This window comes from Homo sapiens, chromosome 1, assembly GCF_000001405.40.
Source record: "Homo sapiens chromosome 1, GRCh38.p14 Primary Assembly".
Classification (NCBI taxonomy): domain Eukaryota; kingdom Metazoa; phylum Chordata; class Mammalia; order Primates; family Hominidae; genus Homo; species Homo sapiens.
The window spans coordinates 225,917,940-225,936,433 of NC_000001.11; the positions used below are offsets into that span (position 1 = coordinate 225,917,940).

General features: G+C 48.8%; 1 protein-coding gene and 1 non-coding gene across 3 annotated transcripts, besides 5 other annotated features; both read right to left on the bottom strand.

The window, feature by feature from the left end:
• Positions 1,939–6,311, bottom strand: PYCR2 (pyrroline-5-carboxylate reductase 2). Of its 2 annotated transcripts, NM_013328.4 has the most exons (7): positions 6,105–6,311; positions 5,762–5,832; positions 4,265–4,444; positions 3,919–4,140; positions 3,613–3,705; positions 3,269–3,432; positions 1,939–2,681 (listed from the first exon to the last, which is right to left on the bottom strand). In NM_013328.4, the coding sequence occupies exons 1-7, from the start codon at positions 6,169–6,171 to the stop codon at positions 2,516–2,518; spliced, it is 963 nt and encodes a 320-aa protein (NP_037460.2). In that variant the 5' UTR covers positions 6,172–6,311; the 3' UTR covers positions 1,939–2,515. The 2 variants fall into 2 exon arrangements, with proteins under 2 accessions (NP_037460.2, NP_001258610.1); NM_001271681.2 differs by lacking the exon at positions 3,919–4,140.
• Positions 4,141–4,203, bottom strand: MIR6741 (microRNA 6741). The gene has a single exon (NR_106799.1). It is a non-coding gene; the product is annotated as a microRNA 6741 (primary transcript).
• Positions 5,908–6,037: a silencer, noted in NCBI's record as "silent region_1864". NCBI's record gives its function as "represses an Ori minimal core promoter by ATAC-STARR-seq in GM12878 lymphoblastoid cells {active_cell/tissue: GM12878}" and the evidence as "EXISTENCE:reporter gene assay evidence [ECO:0000049][PMID:35858748]".
• Positions 6,208–6,857: an enhancer, noted in NCBI's record as "H3K27ac-H3K4me1 hESC enhancer chr1:226111847-226112496 (GRCh37/hg19 assembly coordinates)". NCBI's record gives its function as "activates a minimal SCP1, AML or CMV promoter by ChIP-STARR-seq in naive and primed H9 embryonic stem cells {active_cell/tissue: H9 hESC(naive and primed)}" and the evidence as "EXISTENCE:reporter gene assay evidence [ECO:0000049][PMID:30033119]".
• Positions 6,348–6,437: a silencer, noted in NCBI's record as "silent region_1865". NCBI's record gives its function as "represses an Ori minimal core promoter by ATAC-STARR-seq in GM12878 lymphoblastoid cells {active_cell/tissue: GM12878}" and the evidence as "EXISTENCE:reporter gene assay evidence [ECO:0000049][PMID:35858748]".
• Positions 6,578–6,657: a silencer, noted in NCBI's record as "silent region_1866". NCBI's record gives its function as "represses an Ori minimal core promoter by ATAC-STARR-seq in GM12878 lymphoblastoid cells {active_cell/tissue: GM12878}" and the evidence as "EXISTENCE:reporter gene assay evidence [ECO:0000049][PMID:35858748]".
• Positions 10,299–10,951: a transcriptional cis regulatory region, noted in NCBI's record as "candidate enhancer chr1.11973 targeted for multiplex CRISPR interference". NCBI's record gives its function as "positively regulates PYCR2 gene expression with high confidence in K562 cells {active_cell/tissue: K562}" and the evidence as "EXISTENCE:mutant phenotype evidence [ECO:0000015][PMID:30612741]".

Below are 18,494 nucleotides of genomic sequence, written 5' to 3' on the forward strand. Positions count from 1 at the left end.
GCTGCATCATTATACATCCCCACCAGCAATGCACAAGGGTTCCAATTTCTCCACGTGCTTGCCAACATTTGCTATTTTTTTTAAAACCAAGAACAGTCATATTTGTGGGTGTGAAGTGGTATCTCATTGGGCTTTGATTTGCATTTCCCTAATAACTATTTTAAGGCTGAGCATCTTTTGACGTGCTTCTTCACCATTTGTTTATCTTTTTTGGTGAAATGTCTGTTCAAATCTTTTTGGGCAACTTGGATTTAACCTCTTTGAGCCTCACTTTTCTGGGGAAAAAAAAAAATATACCCAGCTCCTAAGGCCATGAGAGTATGTGTGAAGTGTCTGCAAAGGGCCGGCCACATACTGGGGACTTTAAATGAGTTTTTAGTATTGCACTTGCTGTGTTGGCCCAGAAGAATGACTTCCCATGTGCTCTCAGGTTTGGAGTTAGAGCTGGGGCTGCCCTGACTCAGTGGAATGGAACAAGGCTCCACTCTCTTCTCAGCAGGAGGGTGAAGGAAGAACACCATTTACACGAAGGGGCCATGGTGTTCCAGATGTTCTGTTGAGCACTGCCACATGGTCTCATTTAACACCCTGATGAAACATGGGCTCCATATTTATAAGGGATGAAACCCTGAGATCAGAGAAATTGGTAACTTCTCCCGGGCTGTGAGAAATTTGGTAACTTCTCCCGGGCTGTGGAGTAGAAAGCAGGGGAATCTAAGATTTGAACCCAGAGCTGATGCTGATGCCAATGCCCATACCTTTTTTCTTTTTTTTTTTTTTTTGAGATGGAGTCTTGCTCTTTTGCCAGGGTGGACTACGGTGGCACGATCTTGGCTCACTGCAATCTCCGCCTCCCAGGTTTAAGCAATTCTCCTGCCTCAGCCTCCCGAGTAGCTGGGATTACAGGTATACACCACCATGCCTGGCTAATTTTTGTATTTTTAGTAGAGACAGGGTTTCACCATGTTGGCCAGGATGGTCTAGATCTCTCTGCCTCATGATCTGCCCACCTCGGCCTCCGAAAGTGCTGGGATTACAGGCATGAGCCACTGCGCCCGGCCTCGCATGCCTTTTCAAACAGCCCTGCTGCACAGGCAGGCAGCTCGTAGGAACAAGTACCAGGCACACACCGGCCTGCCTAGAGAAACACTGGATGTCTGGCTATGTGGATGGCATGCCCAGCTATTTCTGGGAGGCTGCAGAATTGATAGCTAAGAACACAGACAGCCCCACCACTGACCGGCAGCACAAATGGGGTAAGTTGCTTATCCCTCTAGGCCTCCAGATGGTTTTTTTTTTTTTTTTTTTGAGACGGAGTCTCACTCTGTTGCCCAGGTTGGAGTACAGTGGCGTGATCTCGGCTCACTGCAAGCTCCGCCTCCTGGGTTCACGCCATTCTCCTGCCTCAGCCTCCCGAGTAGCTGGGACTACAGGTGCCCACCACCACGCCCGGCTAATTTTTTTTTTTTAATTTTTAGTAGAGACGGGGTTTCACCATGTTAGCCAGGATGGTCTCGATCTCCTGACCTCATGATCCGCCTGGCTCGGCCTCCCAAAGTGCTGGGATTACAGGCGTGAGCCACTGCGCCTGGCTGGCCTCGACATCTATACGGTGAGAAAAGAACAGTTCTTCCTTCAGAGGGCAGCTGTGAGGATCAAATGCTCAGCACAGTGCCTGCCCCACATCAAAGCAGACGGCTTTCCCCTTTATTCTGGGCTGCTGACCCACAACCCATGCAGCCCACTTGGCTCTTCCCTGCCATTAGCTTTGGCTCATTCTAGAACAACACCTTGATCCAGACCAAGGGCCTGGCCCCTTATTCCTCTCATCCCTACTTCTAGCCCTTGGACAGTGCTCTCGCAGAGAAGCAGGGAGGACCTCACAAGGGCATCAAGTTCTCCAGGATGATTATTTAAGATTAAGCCTAACAAAAGCAAGATATTTAAAAATAAACTTTATTAAAGCAGTTAAACTTAGCATTAAATAACACTCTTTAAATGGTACACCTATGAAGCAAGAGTTAAATATAAACCCAGTCTAATCCTGTACACTTGTGATTAATTGTGACAATCTTAAGTTGCTCACTTCTTTCCCATTTACCAATTCAGAGAAAGCCCGTTTCCTGTTTTCTCCTCACCACTTTGCCTTGGCATCACACCAACCCTGCCTCGGGCTTCAGCTGCAGATCCTCCCCAGCCCCTCCTCCCAGCTGGGCTGACTCCAGTCCCAGCCCCAGTCTCCACCAACTGAGCAGCGTACGCAGGGTTGTGTCTGGCTTCCAGCATCTACCACCCCTTCAGAGCAACTTCCAACATGGGACAGGAGAGGAAGCTCGCATTGCTTGGTCTGAACAGATTTAAGGAGGTTTTATCACAAGGACCTGAAAACTTCCTAAGCATGCTTTCTCCTTGCACAGCTGAGGAGGGGCAATGGTGGGAGCGGGGCAGGGGGGTGGCAGGGGCGGCAGGGGCTCTCAACTAAGGGCTCTGAATCACAGAGGGGACAGATGCTGCCTTAGTCCTTCTTGCCTCCCAGGGCCAGGCTTCTTGTGAGGAGCTTCCCTGGGCTGGAGGGGGTCAGTGTGGAGACTGTGGGGGATTCCAGCTTCACTCTGTCTAAGAGGGTCTTCTTAAGGGCAGCTGGGGAGATCTTTTCTTGGTCGGCCATGGACTGTAGCTCTCTGCAGACAAAACCCCAGAAGGATTAAAGGAAGGCAATAAACCCTGGGGCCAGAGCTTTGAGTCTCCACTATCCACACAACCCTCAAGCTTGTTGATGTGACACCACCAAAAATTAGAGCCCCAAGACAAACGCTTCCCAACTAGTACTTCCCAACTAGTACTTCTAAGAAGTATTAGTTACCTAAGTTAGGGTTTGCTTATTTATCTCATTTGATCAGAGCCCCAAGTGGTATCTGTGATCACACGGGAAGAGTGACAGGCTTTGGAGTCATAGATTCAAATTAGAATCCTGTCTCCATCACTTTTTAACTGTTTGACCTTGGGAAAATTATCTCTGAGCCTCAACTTCCCATCTACAAGTCAAAGTTAATCCTGGTTATCTGAAATGCAGTGAGAATTAAGTGAAGTAAGGCTTGCAAACTCTTAGGTAAACAAAATCTACTAAGTTGTGGTTATTAACAGAGCACAGACTCCAACACTGCTAAATGGGACCCAAGACAGCAGGTTCCGCAAATGGTGCTCAACCCAGCCCAGGGACCAACCAGGACTGAAGGGTCTGGGACAGAAGTCCGCGGGATGGACTCACCGTGTTCGGATACAGGAGGCCTCAACTGCATTGATGAGCAGAGAGCGGAAGCCCCCACTCTCTAGAAAGTGCAGGGCGTGGATGGTGGCTCCCCCAGGGGAGCAGACATTGTCCTTAAGCTGGCATGGATGCTGCTCCGAGTCCAGCAGCATCTTGGCAGCTCCCTATGGGGAAGGGCACATTAGGAGAAAGTTGCTGGTGTGCGTTGGAACAGGCTTCCCATACCCACTGCTCCTGCCCAACTGCTACCCCAGCTTCCCAACCAACTCCCACCTCAGTTCAGTGATGCACAAGAACCCCCATTCTACACCCTGGTCCTGAACATGCGGGGGAAAGATACTGACCAGCAAAGCCTGGGCCCCGAGTTGGATTGCCAGGCGCCGTGGCAAACCCATCTTCACCCCACCATCAGCCAATGCGTCCAGAGCCATGAATGCCTGTGGAGACACTCACTAAGCCCCAGGCCATAGGCACTGAAGGGCCTTTCCTTAGGTCTGCTTTCTGATGACTAGAACTAGCTCCAAGGGTCAGCATCCTGTACCAGCCAGCTGTGCCCAAGAGGTGGGCGCCACCCCCAGTCCAAGCCTGCCTGCCAGCCCATCTTGCTGCCTGGGTTCCTAGAAGGCTGAGCGAGCAAATGAGGGCCTCACATAGGCAGGCCCGCTGCCACTGAGCCCCGTGACGGCATCGATGAGGTCCTCTTCCACCTCAGTGCAGAAGCCCACGCTGCTCATGAGCTGCTCCAGGAGCTGCCCATCCTCCACCAGGGCATGGGTGCCCGTGGCGTACACTGTAGCGCCTTCCTGCACTACCACAGGTGTGTTGGTCATGCAGCGAATCACTTTGGGGGCTGGCTGGAATGCCATCAGCTTCTAGGGTGAGGGAGAGAGCCGAATGAGTGGCCAGGGCACGGCTCCCACCAGCACCCACCCATTAGCTGCCATTCGTGGGTCAACCCTCCCCTCACACAAGGGGCATCAGGGCTGAGATGGGCACCTTCTCCACAGAGCTGATGGTGACACCAGCCGCACAGGAGACCACGATGTGTCTGGCTTGCACGTCGGCCCCAATCTCATCCAGGATGAAGGGGATGATATGTGGCTTCACAGCCAGAAACAGGACGTCGCTGTGCTTCACCGTCTCCTTGTTGCTGCGTGTCAGGTTCACACCCATCTTCTGCAAGAGGAGACTCCCAGCTCACAGTGCTGGAGCAGCCTGGCTATGCCAAGGCCTCCCAGGGAGCAGCTGAACCCCTGCCAAACCGATTCTGCCAGATGCAGCCTGGAATTCTTAGCTTTATGCCCTCAGGGTTCTACCCCTACCCCAAATAATACAGTTTCCCATTGTTGCTACTGGACAAGTAAGCACAGGCTTGGAGCATGACAAGCTTCTCCATGGTAACCAGGAAGTGGCTGCCCTTCTTCCCTGCCAATCTTCTGGTATCTAAGGCACTCCTCTGCCAGGTAAGAAGGCCCTATGGTGAAAGTGGCAGGGCAAAGGGAAATGCTAATACCTGGTCGTTAAAAGCACAGCTGAGTCAGGCCCTATCCTAACCCTGGCCGCTTGTTCGTGGGGACCGCACAGTCTCCATGTGGTCCAGGGCTAGGCTGGAAGCCATCCATCCCTCTATGACTCCAAACTGAGAAGCAGGACCCTCCAGTGCTAGGGACATCAGCCCACCCTAGGCACAGACACTGCCTGTCACCTGCCTCATCAGCCATCCTCTCCCACAGAGCACAGGTTTTGGGTGAAGACTTGGAATATGTTTTTGGAGAACAGAACAACTAACTCACCAGATTCTTCCCAATATGCTCATTCACGACTCAGAATAACAGCAAAGTGGCCACTGTTGTAAATGAGGAAATAGCCTCAAAGTGGCTGAGTACTTTAAGGTCATACAACTCGTCTATTAAGAAAAATGGCTGAGCGCAGTGGCTCACCCCTGTAATCCCAGCACTTTGGGAGGCCAAGGCGGGCAGATCACTTGAGGCCAGGAGTTCGAGACCAGCCTGGCCAACAGTATTCTCTACCAAAAATACAAAAATTAGCTGCGCGTGGTGGATGCCTGTAATTCCAGCTACTCGGGAGGCTGAGGTGGGAGGCTGAGGTGGGAGGCGGAGGTTACAGTGAGCTGAGATCGCGCCACTGCACTCCAGCTTGGGCGACAGAGTAAGACCCTGTCTGAAAAAAAATTTAAAAAATGAGTATTTATTAGGTACCTACTATGTGCCAGGTGCTTTCATCACATAATCACCTCAGTTAATCCTCTACCACTCCAGTGTCTGGATCTGACCCCCAGTTATGTCTCCCTGGGTGTTCCCACCACATTGAGCTGCCCAAGAGAAGGTGGAAAGATTGTCACGTTCCTGGAGTAAAGGTCACCGCCGGCCAAAGACCAGCACTTGGGCGCAGGGGCCGGCCAGACTCACTTCATCTCAGGTCATCCTTTTCCTGGGCCTCCACCCGCTTCCCACTCCGCCCGGCTCCACCTACCCTGAGCGCGGACACCGTGGGCAGGTTCATTTCTGGGGAGCTGGCTATTATCTTGTGAGCCGACAGGATGCCTGCAGAAGACAGAGCTTTTCAACTAGGGGTCGCGGCCCAGCCCGTTACCACGCTTTCCCTGGCTCTAAAACCCAGAGCCGTCCTAACAGTGCCAGTCTCCCTCTCCCCCTCAACCCTCTACGAGGACAGAAGACGCACTTGCTGCTCAACCAGAGTCTCATCTACCCCACCGGACGCAAACTCCCCTTTCATTCGCTCATGCTGGTGGGACGGAGGCCCCCTCGGGCCTCGGGACCGCCCGCGAAGCCGCCTCCCGCCTCCACGCGCTTGCCTGCGGCCGTGAAGCCCCGCGCCAGAGCATAGGCCAGCTGGCCGGCCCCGATGAAGCCCACGCTCATGGTCCGCGGTTCACGCCTCCTGGGAGCCGCACGAACCCCCTCAGCGAGGGACCGGAAGTAACGCTAGGGGAAGGGCGGACAGCGCAGGGGCGAACGGGCGGCGTGCCGAGGACCGGCGAGCTAACAGCAGCTTCTGGGATGGTGCAACCCTATTCTCCCCCGGCGGATATCTCCCGGGCGGCTGATGGCGCCTTAGGCCACGTGGCCCCGCCCCGTCCGGGCGACCAATCAGTGGCCAGGATCTCGGGGCAGGCCAATCCGCGGCCCGAGCCAGGCCGCGTGCCCGCCTCCTCCGCTCGCGACTGGAGGGCGGAACTCCGGGCTGGAGTCCCGGAAGCCCCTGTGGCAGCTTGGCGTGAGCTCCAGGCGCCCGCCGGCCCAGGACGCCCGGCCGCCCCCACCCCCCCCCCCCACCCCAAGGCTGAGGTCGCCGTCCCTAAGCCACCTCGGGCTCAGGGCTGAGGCCTGGCCCAGGCCTGGCTAATATTATTTCTGGCGCTGGCCATCAGATGCCCCTCAAGGCCCACAGGAATTCTCCAGGTTGCCGATTTGCGGGGATGAACGAGGCCCTCCTGGCGTAGGTTCAGACCAGGTGGCGGCGAGGTTCAGACCAGGTGGCGGCGAGGCGGCACCAGGGTGGTCAGCCGCGGCTTATTCACTTGAACTTGAGTGTTTCTCGCGAATTTGTCCAAACTAGATACAAGAAGGACAAGTTCGAGTCTCCGACTCTTCCGCGATCCCGCACCCCCCAGCCCCTTGCTGTCACTTGCCTTTTTTTTTTTGAGACGGAGTTTCACTCTTGTTGCCCAGGATGGAGTGCAGTGGCACGATCTCGGCTCACTGCAATCTCCGCCTCCCGGGTTCAAGCGATTCTCCTGCCTCAGCCTCCCCAGTAGCTGGGATTACAGGCGCCCGCTACCACGACCGGATAATTTTTGTATTTTTAGTAGAGACGGGGTTTCACCATGTTGTTCAGGCTGGTCTTCAACTCCTGACATCAGGTTATCCGCCCGCCTCGGCCTCCCAAAGTGCTGGGATTATAAGCGTGAGCCACCGCGCCCGACCTGTCTCTTGCTTTTAAAAGCTCCACCAATGTGATGTTTCCTTTTCTATCAGTAGTAAATATAAGGGGCCGCAGGGAACAAATGACAGAAGTAGAGAGGAAGAAGGTGGCGTTCCTAGAGGACTCAGAAGAGCTGAGGACCCTTAGTTCCCATGGTCTCTCTGCTAGCTTTTCTAGTCCTTTCCGTGTAATGCACACCCCCACTCCCAGGCAAGGGGCTGCTTTCTGTGAACTTCCCTGAGCAAGTCCCCAGGCCCTCAGTTTGTGCACCCTTTAAAGTGAGGACCAAATATAATATTTACTATTAAGCAAAATAATGCTATGTTTTATTTATTTATTTATTTATTTATTTATTGAGACAGAGTTTCGCTCTTGTTGCCCAGGCTGGAGTGCAATGGCACGATCTCGGCTCACTGCAACCTCCACCTCCCGGGTTCAAGCGATTCTCCTGCTTCAGCCTCCTGAGTAGCTGGGATTACAGGCATGCGCCACCACGCCCGGCTAATTTTTTGTATTTTTAGTAGAGACAGGGTTTCTCCATGTTGGTCAGGCTGATCTTGAACTCCCGACCTGAGGTGATCTGCCTGTCTCAGCCTCCCAAAGTGCTGGGATTACAGGCGTGAGCCACAGCACCTGGCCTCTGTATTTTTTAAATTCGAAAAGTAATACAGACATATTGAAGAAAGTTTGGAGATAAAAGTAAAAATAAAATCATCCACATCATACTTCCCAAAGATAGTTTCTTACAAACATTTTTGGTGTATTTCCTTACACTATCATGTCCTATGCATATCTACTTTCTCCATCATTGGAAATAAATGATGTACATGTAGTTTTGAAATTTCTCTAGTAGACATGAGCATTTTCCAATGTCACTGAAAAGTTATTTAAGACAGTTTTAATGACTACTTATTATATGTATGTACCTTACTGATTTAACCATTCAAAGGTCAATGTTAGGTTTATTGATTTATATAATAGATAACTTACTGAGCCAGGTTCTGGGAGTATAGCTATGAACAAAACAGACAAGTTCCTGTCCTCATAAAACATCAATTTATTATTATTTCTTATTTTTATTTATTTATTTATTTTTGAGACGGAGTCTTTGTTACCCAGGCTGGAGTGAAGTGGCATGATCTCGGCTCACTGCAACCTCCATCTCCCGGGTTCAAGCGATTCTCCTGTCTCAGCCTTCCGAGTACCTGGGATTACAGGCATGTGTCACCACGCCTGGCCAATTTTTGTATTTTTAGTAGAGATGGGGTTTCACCATGTTGGCCAGGCTGGTCTCCAACTCCTGACCTCAGGTGATCCACCCGCCTCAGCCTCCCAAAGTGCTGGGATCACAGACATGAGCCACCACTCCTGGCCTTCAATTTTTTAAATTTTTGTTCATATTATTGTGATAAAATCTTTGCCTGACTCATTATTTTCTTAACATGACTCCCAGAAGTGAGATTTGTAAGGTCCAGTGGTTTGGGGCTTTAAGAGCTCCCATAGCTGCCATGTTGCAGCATAGCCTAATGGTTACCAGCGTAAAGCTCTGAAACCAGAAACCCAGCAGAAACCAAACTGGCTGAAGGAAAAGGGGGGCTTCTGTACAGCGCTTGGGAGAGGCACAGGGGAGCTCACAGACCAGAAGGGGCACCTACAGAGAGCAGGACCTCAGGAATGGAACTAGAACACTGCGCTGCCAGCACTTCCCCTCTTCTCTTTGTCTCATTTCTGTTTGCCTGCATTTGGCCTCCCTTTTGTTGTAGAGGAGTCTTTGTCAGGTAGTGAGGAAGTTGGGGGTTTACCCTCCTTCACAACTTCCTAATGCTGCCTGCTCCTCTGCAGGATACTCACCCTCCCCATAGTCCACCAGGGCACTGCAGGGCCCTTTGCTTTTCCTGGCTGTGGTCTGTTGTGGGGAGCTCTGGATCTGACCTGCAATACAGGAGGTTGTGCTGAAGCTGAATGTGTGTTTTGGAGTGAGGTGTGGGGGACACTTGTGTCTCACTCCTTTCTGACCCCTTACATACACCCATCCCTTACCTGGTTGCCTTGCGTTGATATCTCCCGTTTCCGCTTCCGGGAGCCAGGGTGAAATGGGAGAACTGCAAAAGCCTAAGAAAGGATGGCCGGGTGCGGTGGCTCACACCTGTAATCCCAGAACTTTGGGAGGCTGAGGCGAATGGACCACCTGAGGTCAGGAGTTCGAGACCAGCCTGGCCAACATGGTGAAACCCCATCTCTACTAAAAATACAAAAAATTAGCCGGATGTGGTGGCGGGCACCTATAATCTCAGCTACTCAGGAGGCTGAGACAGGGGAATTGCTTGAACCTGGGAGGTGGAGATTGCAGTGAGCCAAGATTGTGCCACTGCACTCCAGGCTGAGTGACAGTGTGAGACTCTGTCTAAAAAAAAAAAAAAAAAAAAAAAAGAGGCCATGTTGGTGACCCCCAGTGTTGGCTTCATCCCCAGCCAGGACTGGCCACATAAGACACGGAGTAGCAAAAGCACTTGCTCCCCTCAGTTTGGACTTAGGGCAGCAAGTGAGCCACTGACCACAAACTGTTCTTTTTTGTGGTAGTTTTGATCTATTATTTTTTCATCTCCAAAGTTTAAAGTTTATATATACAAAATCTATTATATTTTATTTTTTAAAAATATAAGATGGAAATAAAAAAGAGCAAAAGAGAAAAGAAAACAACAAAAAATAAAAACAAAGTAAGAAAACAAAAAAAACCCAAATATATGTATATATAAAATATATATATAAAATAGAGACGGGGTCTCACTATGTTAGTCTAGGTTGATCTTGAACTCTTGACCTCAAGCAATCCTCCCTCCTTGGCCTCCCAGTGTTAGGATTACAGGCATGAGCCACCGCACCCAGCCTGTTACCTATTTTAAATATAGGTAAGACCATTTTATTCTCTTTTAATGACCTTGCTGACTCTAACGTCCCATTTCCTTGGTGCTGTGGCCACTGCCTTGGTTTCTAAGGCAGTCACATCTGATGCCTGTGGAGTTCCTCTGAACTGAAGTTGAGGAGAGGAGAGGGGAAGCCCTTCGTTCCCATCCAGCCACCCTAAAGGACACCCCAGCCTTGCACTGCCATCCTGCCATGGGACATGCTCAGTCCCTGCTGGCACTTGTCTCCTTGGGCACCCACTATCCTTTTGCTGTCTCGGAGCAGACACGTCCACAAAGCTGCCAGGACTGCCCACCTTCACCCCTCTACTCCCATCCTCTCATCCACCAGTCAGGTTCTGCTGTTTGTACCCTTCCTCCCTCTTCACTCCCCTCTGTCCTGCCTGATGGCCCTCTCCAGCTGTCTCAGACAAAATGGATACTGCTTCACTTCTGTCTACTTCTGCTTCTTCACTATCAGGGCCTCAGGGCCTCCCTCTAAACAGCAGGCCAGTCTCTCCTATCTCTAAACAGCAGGCCAGTCTCTCCTAAGAACTGAGATGACCTAGGAAATGAGAGAGAAGCCTGTGCTGCTCCCAGATAAACAGATGGCAAGTGCCTTGGCCCTCAATCCTCCCTGTCCTAGGAGCCTCTCCAAAGAGGCGCATTTTTGAGTGCATTTTTGCATTCTTTTTGTTATTGCATAAATAATCCATGTTTATTTTAGAAAAATTAGAAATGAGATCAAATGGAAGGCTGGGTGCAGTGGCTCATTCCTGTAATCCCAGCACTTTGGGAGAACAAGGCAGGCGATCATTTGAAAACAGGAGTTCCAAACCAGCCTAGCCAACGTGGCAAAACCCTGTCTACTAAAAATACAAAAATTAGCCGGGCATCATGGCCTGCGCTTGTACTCCCAGCTACTCTGGTGGCGGATGCACAAGAATCGCTTGAACCCAGGAAGCGGTGGTTACAGTGAGCTGAGATCGTGCCACTGCACTTCAGCCTGGGCGACAGAGTGACACTCTGCCTCGAAAAAACAAAAAAGAAAGAGAACAAATGGAAAAACATTGTTTTCAATTCCACCACACAAAGATTTAGAACAAATGTGACCCTTTTGGAGAATAACTCTCTTCACTTCTTTTTCCCATGCAATAAGCACATTAAAACTTGATTTTGGCCGGGCGCAGTGGCTCATGCCTGTAATTCCAACACTTTGGAAGGCTGAGACAGGAGGATCACTTGAGCTCAGGAGTTTGAGACCATCCTGGGCAACATGGCAAAACCCTGTCTCTACCAAAAAATAAAAAAATAAAAATAAATAAATAATAAAAATAAAAAATTAGCCGAGTGTGGTGGTTCGTGCCTGTAGGCCCAACTACTCAGGAAGCTGAGGTGGCAGGATCACTTGAGCCTGGGAGGTGGAGGTTACAGTGAGCTAAGATCCTGCTACTGCACTCCAGCCTGAGCAAAAGGGTGAGACCCTGTCTCAAAAAAAAAAAGAAAAAGAAAAGAAAGAAAAAAAAGCAAACTATCGCAAGAACAAAAAACCAAACACCGCATGTTCTCACTCATAGGTGGCAATTGAACAATGAGAACACTTGGACACAGGAAGGGGAACATCACACACCAGGGCTTGTTGTGGGGTAGGGGGAGGGGGGAGGGATAGCATTAGGAGATATACCTAATGTAAATGATGACTTAATGGGTGCAGCACACCAACATGGCACATGTATACATATGTAACAAACCTGTACGTTGTGCACAAGTACCCTAGAACTTAAAGTATAATTAAAAAAAAAAGAAAGATAAGAAAAACTTTTTTTTTTTTTTGAGACGGAGTCTAGCTTTGTCACCCAGGCTGGAGTACAGTGGTGCAATCTCAGCACACTGCAACCTCTGCCTCCCAGGTTCAAGTAATTCTCCTGCCCCAGCCTCCTGAGGAGCTGGGACTACAGGTGTGCACCACCACACCCAGCTAATTTTTGTATTTTTAGTAGAGACGGGGTTTCACCGTGTTGGCCAAGCTGGTCTCGAACCCCTGACCTCAGGTGATCCACCCACCTTGGCCTCCCAAAGTGCTGGGATTACAAGCGTGAGCCACCATACCTGGCCAAAACCTTGATTTTTTTTTTTTTTTTTTTTTTGAGACAGAGTCTCGCTCTGTCGCCCCAGGCTGGAGTGCAGTGGCGGGATCTCAGCTCACTGCAAGCTCCGCCTCCCGGGTTCACACCATCCTCCTGCCTCAGCCTCCCGAGTAGCTGGGACTACAGGTGCCCACCACCACGCCTGGCTAATTTTTTTTGTTGTTTTGTTTTTTTTTTTTTTTAGTAGAGACAGAGTTTCACCATGTTAGCCAGGATGGTCTCCATCTCCTGACCTCGTGATCCACCCACCTCGGCCTCCCAAAGTGCTGGGATTACAGGCGTGAGCCATCGTGCCCAGCCAAAACCTTGGTTTTTAAAATAAGTATTTACTCATGCTGCATGGAAACAGGTGATATGCAAAAACCAAAATAATTTTGTTTTAGGATGGTGGGATTATGGGTGGTTTGCAATACATTAAAAATTATCTTTAATGTTATTTATTTATTTATTTATTTATTTATTTTTTGAGACAAGTTCTTGCTGTGTCACCCAGGCTAAAGTGTAGTGGCATCATCACAGCTCACTGCAGCCTCAACTTCCCAGGCTCAAACACTCCTCCCACTTCTGCCTGCCAAGTAGCTGGAACTACAACCACTACTCCTGGCTAATTTTTTGTATTTTTTAAAGTATAGATGATGGGGATGGTCTCACTATGTTGTACAGTTTGGTTTTGAACTCGCAGGCTCAAGCAATCTGCCTGCCTTGGCCTCCCAAAGCGCTGGCATTACAGGCTTGAGCCACTGCACCTGGCCCTTTATTTCATCTTTTAAGTGAAAAAAAATTGTAATTACATCCTACTTCTAATGGGATTTGGCTTACTGTCTGTATTAATTTTCTATTGCTGCTGTATTAATTCATCACAAATTTAGCTGCTTAAAATGAAACAACTTTATCTCACATTTTGTAGATTTAAAGTCTGAGTTTGAGGCCATGCTGGGCAATGTAGGGAGACCCCTGTCTTTACAAAAATTGTAAAAATTAGCCAGTATGGTGGTATGAGCCTGTAGTCCCAGCTACTTGGGGAGAGGGAGGTGGGAGGATCACTTGAGCCTGGGAGATAGAGGCTGCAGTGAGCTATGATCGTGCTTTACTCCAGTCTGGGTGGCAGTGAGACCCTGTCTTTAAAACAAAACAAAACAAAACAAAACAAAACAAGACAAAAAAACAGTCTGAGTAGCCTCAGCTGGTTTCTCTGCTCCAGGTCTCATAAAGACAAATCCCCATGTCAGCTGATAATCTGGGCTCTTATCTGGAGGCTCTGGGGGAGGATCCACCTTCAGACTCATTCAAGTGTTGGCAGAATTCGACTTCCATGTGGGTGTAGATCTGAGGTCCCCTTTCCTTGCTGGCTATCAGCTGGGAGTCAGCCCACCTTTTAGAGGCCACTCACATTCTCTAGCTCATGGCTTCCCTCATCTTCAGACCAGCAATGGCAGGGCAAGTCCTTCTCATGCTTCAGATCTCTTTGACCTCTCCCTTCTACCTCATCTCTCCTGCCTCCAGCCAGAGAAAGTTCTCTGCTTTGAAGGGCTCATGTGATTAGATTGGGCACACTCAGATAATCCACGATAATCTCCCTATTTTAAGGTTTGTAACCTTAATTACATCTGCAGAGTCCTTTTTGCTATGTAACATAACAGTCACAGGTTGCAAGGATTAGGGCCCAGGTGTCTTTGGGGAGAGCGTTCTGTCTACCACACTGTCTCCCTATCCTAATGAGCACGCCTTACATTTTGAAATGAAGCCAATCTCCTACATTTTTTTTTTTTTTTTAGCTCACACTCAGCCTGGTGTGAGCAGGCCCATCTTTGTCACTGATTGCATGTGACTGCCTGGGAATCCACAGATCTTTTAGAGCCACAGATACATCACTGTGTAACTGGTAGAGTTCTTCAGGTGGATATTGATATCCTTCTGGTACACAAAGCAACCATATGCCCTGGTATTTACAATACCCCAACTGGAAAATCTTGGCCCTCTTTAGACATTTTTTAGCTCTATTTTTCTTCTGTTATGATTTTAATTTTTTTTTTGAGACAGAGTCTGGCTCTGTCACCCAGGCTGGAGTGCAGTGGCACAATCTCGGCTCACTGCAACCTCCACCTCCCAGGTTCAAGTGATTCTCTACCTCAGCCTCCTGAGTAGCTAGGATCACAGGTGTGCACCACCATGCCCAGCTAATTTTTGTATTTTTAGTAGAGATGGGGTTTCACCATGTTGGCCAGGCTGGTCTAGAACTCCTTGGCCTAGAGCGATCTACCCGCCTCAGCCTCCCAAAGTGCTGGGATTACAGGCATGAGCCACCACACCCAGCCTATTTTTCTCTTATTATTTAGTTAGTATTAATTAGCTTTGCAGGTAAGAAATAGAGAGTCCTTTATCCCGAAGTACAGCCATGCCTCACTTAACAATGGGGATATTGGCCTGGTGCGGTGGTTCATGCCTGTAATCCCAGCATTTTGGGAGGCCAAAGTAGATGGATCATGAGGTCGGGAGTTGGAGACCAGCCTGGCCAAGATGGTGAAACCCTGCCTCTACTAAAAAATACAAAAATTAGCTGAGCGCGGTGGCGGGTACCTGTAATCCCAGCTACTTGGGAGGCTGAGGCAGGAGAATCGATTGAGTCTGGGAGGCGGAGTCTGCAGTGAGCTGAGATCACACCACTGCACTCTAGCCTGGGTGACAGAGCAAGACTCCAACTCAAAAAAAAAAAAAAAAAAAAACGATGGGGATGTGTTCTAAGAAATGCATTGTTAGGCGATTTCATTGCTGTGGAAACATCATGGAGCGCACTCACATAAACCTACACGGTGGAGTTTACTACACACCTAGACTATGTGGTGTAGCCTATTGCTCCTAGGCTACAAACCTGTGCAGCATATTACTGTACTGAATACTGTAGGCAATCGTAACACAATGGTAAGTATTTGTGTATCTAAACATACCTAAACATAGAGAAGATATAGTAGAAATATAGTGTAAAATATTTTAAAATGGCACAACATCTATAGGGCACTTGCCATGAATGGAGCTTGGAGGAGTGGAGGTTGCTTTGGGTGAGTCAGTGAGTGAGTAATGAGTGAATGTGAAGGCTTAGGACATTACTGTACACTACTGTAGACTTTATCAACACTGTATACTTAGCCTACACTAAATTTGTAAAAATAAATTTTTCTTTCTTTAATAATTGACCTTAGCTTACTGTAACTTTTTTATAAACGTTAAATTAAAAAGAAACTTTTTGACTCTTTTTTTTTTTTGGAAACGGAGTCTCACTCTGTCACCAGGCTGGAGTGCAATGGTGCGATCTCAGCTCACTGCAACCTCTGCCTCCCAGGTTCAAGTGATTCTCCTGCCTCAGCCTCCCGAGTAGCTGGGATTACAGGCATGCACCACCATGCCCGGCTAATTTTATATTTTTAGTAGAGAAAGGGTTTCACCATGTTGGTCAGGCTGGTCTTGAACTCGCGACCTCAGGTGATCCGCCCACCTCAGCCTCCCAAAGTGCTGGGATTACAGGCATGAGCCACCACACCTGGCCAACTCTTTTGTAATAACAATTAAAACAGAAACATATTGTACAGATTTATACAATATTTTTCTTTTTATCCTTATTCTTTTATTTTTTTGGAGGGGAACAGAGTCCTGCTCTGTTGCCCAGGCTGGAGTCCAGTGGTGTGATCTCGGCTCACTGCAACTTCTGCCTCTCGGATCCAAGTGATTCTCCTGTCTCAGCTTCCCGAGTAGCTGGGACTATAGGCATGCGCCACCATGCCCAGGTAATTTTTTTGTATTTTAGTAGAGTTGGGGTTTCACCATGTTGCCCTGGCTGGTCTCAAACTCCTGAGTTCAGCCAATTTGCCACCTCGGCCTCCCAAAGTGCTAGGATTACAGGCATGAGCCACCGCGCCTGGCCTCTTTTTATCCTTATTCTATAAACTTTTTCTATTAAAAAGTTTATTTTTTTTCTAATTTTTAAGTTTTTTGTTAAAAAATAAAACACAAACACACACAGTAGCCTAGGCCTACACAGGGTCAGGATCAGCAATATCACTGTCTTCCACCTCCACATCTTGTCCCAGTAGAAGGTCTTCAGGGGCAATAACATATACGGAGCTGTCATCTCTTATGATAACAATGCCTTCTTCTGGATTCCTCCTGAAGGAACCGCCTGAGCCTGTTTTACAGTTAACTTTTTTTTTTTAATAAGTAGAACGAGTACTCTAAAATAATAAAAAGTATAGTAAATACATAACAGTAACAGTCACTTATCAAGTATTATATACTATATATAATTACATGTGCTGTGCTTTATTTTATTTATTTTTTGAGATGGAGTCTCACTCTGTTACCCAGACTGGAGTGCAGTGGTGTGATATCAGCTCACTGCAACCTCCGTCTCCAGGGTTCAAGTGATTCTTCTCCTGTCTCATCCTCCTGAGTAACTGGGACTACAGGCACCCGCCACCACGCCTGACTAGTTTCTGTTTTTTTAGTAGAGAAGGGGTTTTACTATATTGGTCAGGCTGGCCTCGAACTCCTGACTCCAGGTGATCCACCCTCCTCAGCCTCCCACAGTGCTAGGATTACAGGCGTGAGCCACCATGCCCGGCCTAGCATGTGCTATGTTTTTATACAACTGACAGCACAGTAAGTGTGTTTATATCAGCATCACCACAAACACATGAGTAATGGGTTGTGCTAGGACATTATAATGACTATGATGTCACTAGACCATAGGGATTTTTCAGCTCCATTGTAATCTTATGGGACCACCATTGTGTATGTGGTCTGTCATTGACCGAACTATCATTTTGCGGTATATGACTGTATAACTTTCTCCATAGACAAGCATAAGGAAACCCAGCTCAATGGGAAAGCTAAATGGAGGGGAATTGCATAAGACAGCTCCCAAATGACATTTTAACCTGATGCCTGTGTCATCAGCAGAGCAGCTTATTGGGGACTGGCATAGGAAGAAGTTTATAACCCATTCTGTGGGATAGAGATTCAACATGCTCGCATTACCTCAGGCTGTTTCTTCATCTAAAAAATAGGATTAATAATACCCACCTTATGGGATAGCTGCAAGAATTAAGTGACATGTGACAATGCCTAGTCCAGTTCCCTGGTTCATAGTGAATGATAAGAAATGTTAGCTCGCTTACCACACTATTGTCAACCCCCATTGCCCATCACCACTATTGTAGGGGTTACAGTGCTTTCTAAAGAGGAGGTAGGCCGGGCACCGTGGCTCACGCCTGTAATCCCAGCACTTTGGGAAACTGAGGCGGGCGGATCACTTGAGGTCAGGAGTTCAAGACCAGCCTGGCCAAATAGCAAAACCCCGTCTCTACTAAAAGATGCAAAAATTAGGCTGGGCACAGTGGCTTATGCCTGTAATCCCAGCATTTTGGGAGGCCAAGGCGGTCGGATCACCTGAAATCAGGAGTTCGAAACCAGCCGGGCCAACATGGTGAAACCCAGTCTCTACTAAAAAAATACCAAGGGCCGGGCACGGTGGCTCACACCTGTAATCCCAGCACTTTGGGAGGCCGAGGCAGGTGAATCACGAGATCAGGAGTTCGAGACCAGCCTGGCCAACATGGGGAAACCCCATCTCTACTAAAAATACAAAAAATTAGCCGGGCGTGGTGGTGGGCGCCTGTAATCCCAGCTACTTGGGAGGCTGAGGCAGGAGAATCGCTTGAACCTGGGAGGCAGAGGTTGCAGTGAGCTGAGATCACGCCACTGCACTTCCGCCCAGGTGACAGTGCGAGACTCATCTCAACAACAACAACAACAAAACCCAAAAAATTAGCTGGCCATGGTGGTGGTCGCCTATAGTCCCAGCTACTAGGGAGCCTGAGGCAGGAGAATTGCTTGAACCCAGGAGGAGGAGGTTGCAGTGAACCGAGATCATGCCACTGCACTACAGCCTGGGCAACAGAGTGAGACTCCGTCTCAAAAAAAAAAAAAAATTAGCTGGGCATGGTGGCACATGCCTGTAATTCGGGAGGCTGAGGCGTGAGAATTGCTTAAACCTGGGAGGGAGGCGGAGTTTGCGGTGAGCCATGATCGTGCCACTGCATTCCAGCCTGGGTGACAGAGCCACACTCTGTCTCAAAAAAAAAAAAATGAGGCTGCAGTGCTTGCTTTGGCAACACATAAACTAAAGAGGAGACATCCGTGAGTGATTGTTTAATATTT

Bases quoted from the DNA above. Each gene is read 5' to 3' on its own strand.
- PYCR2 (NM_013328.4), bottom strand. From the start codon at position 6,171: ATGAGCGTGGGCTTCATCGGGGCCGGCCAGCTGGCCTATGCTCTGGCG. The intron at 3,706-3,918 runs GTGAGGCCCTCA...GTGTCTCCACAG, and splicing joins GTGGCAGCGGGCCTGCCTAT to GCATTCATGGCTCTGGACGC. The intron at 2,682-3,268 runs GTGAGTCCATCC...TTTTGTCTGCAG, and splicing joins GCCTCCTGTATCCGAACACG to AGAGCTACAGTCCATGGCCG.